Source organism: Homo sapiens, chromosome X (assembly GCF_000001405.40).
Source record: "Homo sapiens chromosome X, GRCh38.p14 Primary Assembly".
Lineage (NCBI taxonomy): Eukaryota > Metazoa > Chordata > Mammalia > Primates > Hominidae > Homo > Homo sapiens.
Window position 1 is genome coordinate 144,760,878 of NC_000023.11, and position 3,704 is coordinate 144,764,581.

The following is a 3,704-nucleotide window of genomic DNA, read 5'->3' on the forward strand; positions in this document are numbered from 1 at the left end:
GACTAAGAAAAGAGAGAAAAGATTCAAATAAATCAGAGATGAAATAATAGATATTATGACCTGATACTGCAGAAATTTAACATATCGTTAGTGGCTACTGTGAGGAACTATATGCCAATAAACTGGAAAATCTAGAAGAAATGGACAGATTACTGGATACATACAACCTGCCATGGTTGAATCAGGAAGAAATCTGAAACCTGAACAGACCAATAACAAGGAATGAGATTGAAGTAATACATTTCTATTACTATAAACCACAAAGTTTATGTTTATTTGTTATAGCAGCCCTGGAAAACTAATACAAGAACCTAACATATATTTTCTCATTTAATGTTTATAAAATCACTGCCAGGCAGAAATTTTTATTTACATTTTATAGATAAAGATGTGAATAAGAAATAAAACTTCATTCACTCCTCTGACAGGTATGCAGTGCCTACTCTGTGCTAGTCTCTGTTGATCCACTGAGAAATACAAATATATACAACTTGCCCAAGGAAGCACAAATTATAAATGACAAAGACAGAATATGAATCCATGTCTACCTGGCTCCAAAGACATTATATACCTCATCACATTCGTAAGCAATGATTTTATCACTGGCTTCAATAATTTGATATTGATTCCCTCCCAATGCAGGTCACCGAGTCTTCATACACAGAAATTATTCTTCACTCATGGCCCCAGCTGCGTCTCAGTGAATTTTTTTCCCAAGAAGACGAAGCAGAGTAATAGGCTACACATAGGCTACACACTTTTCTTTCTGCAAACAAAATGGTAAGGGTGAAATCTTTCTCTTTCAATAAGGGCTCAAGTAATACTCTCTCCTTTGAAAGTGAAAATGTTTTTGCAGATGCTTCCCTACTCTTCTTCAAAAAGAGATTTGTTCACGCCTGTAATCCCAGCACTTTGGGAGGCCGAGGCGGGTGGATCATGAGGTCAGGAGATCGAGACCATCCTGGCTAACAAGGTGAAACCCCGTCTCTACTAAAAATACAAAAAATTAGCCGGGCGCGGTGGCGGGCGCCTGTAGTCCCAGCTACTCGGGAGGCTGAGGCAGGAGAATGGCGTGAACCCGGGAAGCGGAGCTTGCAGTGAGCCGAGATTGCGCCACTGCAGTCCGCAGTCCGGCCTGGGCAACAGAGCGAGACTCCGTCTCAAAAAAAAAAAAAAAAAAAAAAAAAAGAGATTTGTGCCATCTGCTCATCACATCTGGATCAAGGGTAGTATGTCTAAAGATTTTTTTTCATTTCATTAAAAACAGGAAGGAAATTTTTTTTAGTTCCCAATTGTGAAATTATATAATTTCAACCTTTACTTAGGAGTGCTCAGTTACAACTATCAGTGGTATCTAACTTTGTCGTATTCTCACAATAAAATAAGGATCTTCTTGTTCCAGATACAAAGAGGCAACATGTAGAGTAAACTGTGCTGGCTTTAGGTAAGACAAAACTGACTGGAGTCATGGCCTGACTGCCTTACTATGAGAAAGCTGTAGAATCATCACACGAGAGGTTAGAAAGTAATTTATTTTCACTTCTCTTGTCTGCAAATGAGAAAATTGAAACCAATAATGGGTAAGAGAATCCGCCAAGGATTTACAGGAAAAGCTAGAAGGTAGAGTCAGAAATGGAAAGCAGGATTTATTTCTTTTAGGTCAATGCCTTTTATATGAATCATGCTCTTTCTTTGAGCTTCAAAATTCTTCTATGCAAATTAAGGTTACCGACCTAACAGGATTATTGTTAGCATCAAATGAAAGAATCTTTGTGAAAGACCTTGGGTCACTTCCTCTAAGCCTCAAGTTCAACTACTTTCAAATGAGTAGATTGTACTACACAATATCTCAGTTATGAGATTTGTTGTTTGTATGTGTTAAGTATAAAGTGGTGTACAAATATATTTTATTTCTATATCTCCATAATTCCTAAACTAAGTGGTCTATCTCTTCTTGATTCCATTTATTTTGACAACAGTGAACAAAATTGTTTGAGGTCATATAGAAACAAAACTCTAGTATCTCTATCCCAAGGTCATGTTTGTATTACACATTCCATTAAACAATATAATTAAATCAACATATGCAAAAGAGTTCCACTAAATGGCCAAAAGCCAGGCTTGGCTACATTCATGAAGTAGTGCTTCTATCATGGTTTTGTGCCATTTTCCCACACTACTAATTTGGGTTGAGAAATACTTTATCTTGTTTTCATTTCTACTATTTTTCAAGAAATTCTACGACAAAAAGCATTCACTTGCTCTCTAAATGAAGTAATTAAACACTCTGTGAGGATTAAAAAGTACAATAAAAATAGAGATTCACATAACCGTAATTGGTACCTAACCAGGTGCATAGTTTTGTTGCTGTGGAGAAGTATGGAAAGATGGAAGAAGTTTTTATTCTAATGTATATGTATTTGTCTATTTTCCAATATTAAAAATAGAATGGGTGGGGATTTTATTGACAGACAGGTTGAGTGAATGTTCAGAACTGTAACTAAGACACCTGATGAGGCCAGGTGCGGTGGCTCATGCCTGTAATGCTAACATTTTGGGAGGCTGAGGGGGGCGGATCATGAGGTCAGGAGTTCACAGAGCAGCCTGACCAACCTGGTGAAACCCATCTCTACTGAAAATACAAACATTAGCCAGGAGTGGTGGCGCATGCCTGTAATCCCAGCTACTTGGAAGGCTGAGGCAGGAGAATTGCTTAAACCGCTGGGGCAGAGGTTGCAGTGAGCTGAGATCATGCCACTGCATTTTGGCCTGGGTGAGAGAGCAAGACTCCATCTCTGGGGGCAGGGGATGTTGGAGGGAGGAGACACCTGATGAGGACTTTTAATGGTTATTAGAAAGGCAGTAAAAAGGCATGTATACAAAGTTCTATTGGCCATATCCTGAAAAGCAAAATTCTGGTATATATAATACTAATCATCCATTTAACAATCCATCCATCTACTCAATCATCCATTCATTCAAGAAATAGTCTTGAGTATATACCCAGAATCATTTTAGGCTATGGAAGTAGAGTAGTAAACAAACAGACAAAAGTTCTTACTCTTTTGGAGTTGATAATTTGTGTGTGTGAGAGAGGTAGTCAGAGAATAAATAAATAAGAAAAGTATACAATATATCAGTTGGTAAAAAAGCTATGGAAAATAATGAAGTCAGGAATAATAAAATAATAAAGTAAGGATAAGTGTATTAGTCTGTTCTCACACTGCTATAAAGAACTGCCCCAAACTGGGTAATTTATAAAGGAAAATGGTTTAACTGACTCCCAGGTTCACATTACTAGGGAGGCCTCAGGAAACTTACAATCAGGGCAGAAGACACCTCTTCACAGGGTGGCATGAGAGAAAATGAGTGCCAGCAGGGGAAATGCCAAATGCTTATAAAACCATCAGATCTCATGAGACTCACTCATTATCATGAGAACAGCAGGGGGAAACTGCCCCCCCATGATTCAATTACCTCCACCTGGTCCTGCCATTGACATGTGGGGATTATTACAATTCAAGGTGAGATTTTGTTGGGGACACAGAGTAAACCATGTCAATAAGCAAGACTGGTGAAAGGGGTAAGAGTTTCAATTTCAATAAAAATTTGCAGAGATGAGGGATTTATCCATGAAGATACTTGAGGGAAGAGCTCCTGGGCAGAAAGATTGGCAATTGCAAAGGCCCTGAAGCAGGGACATG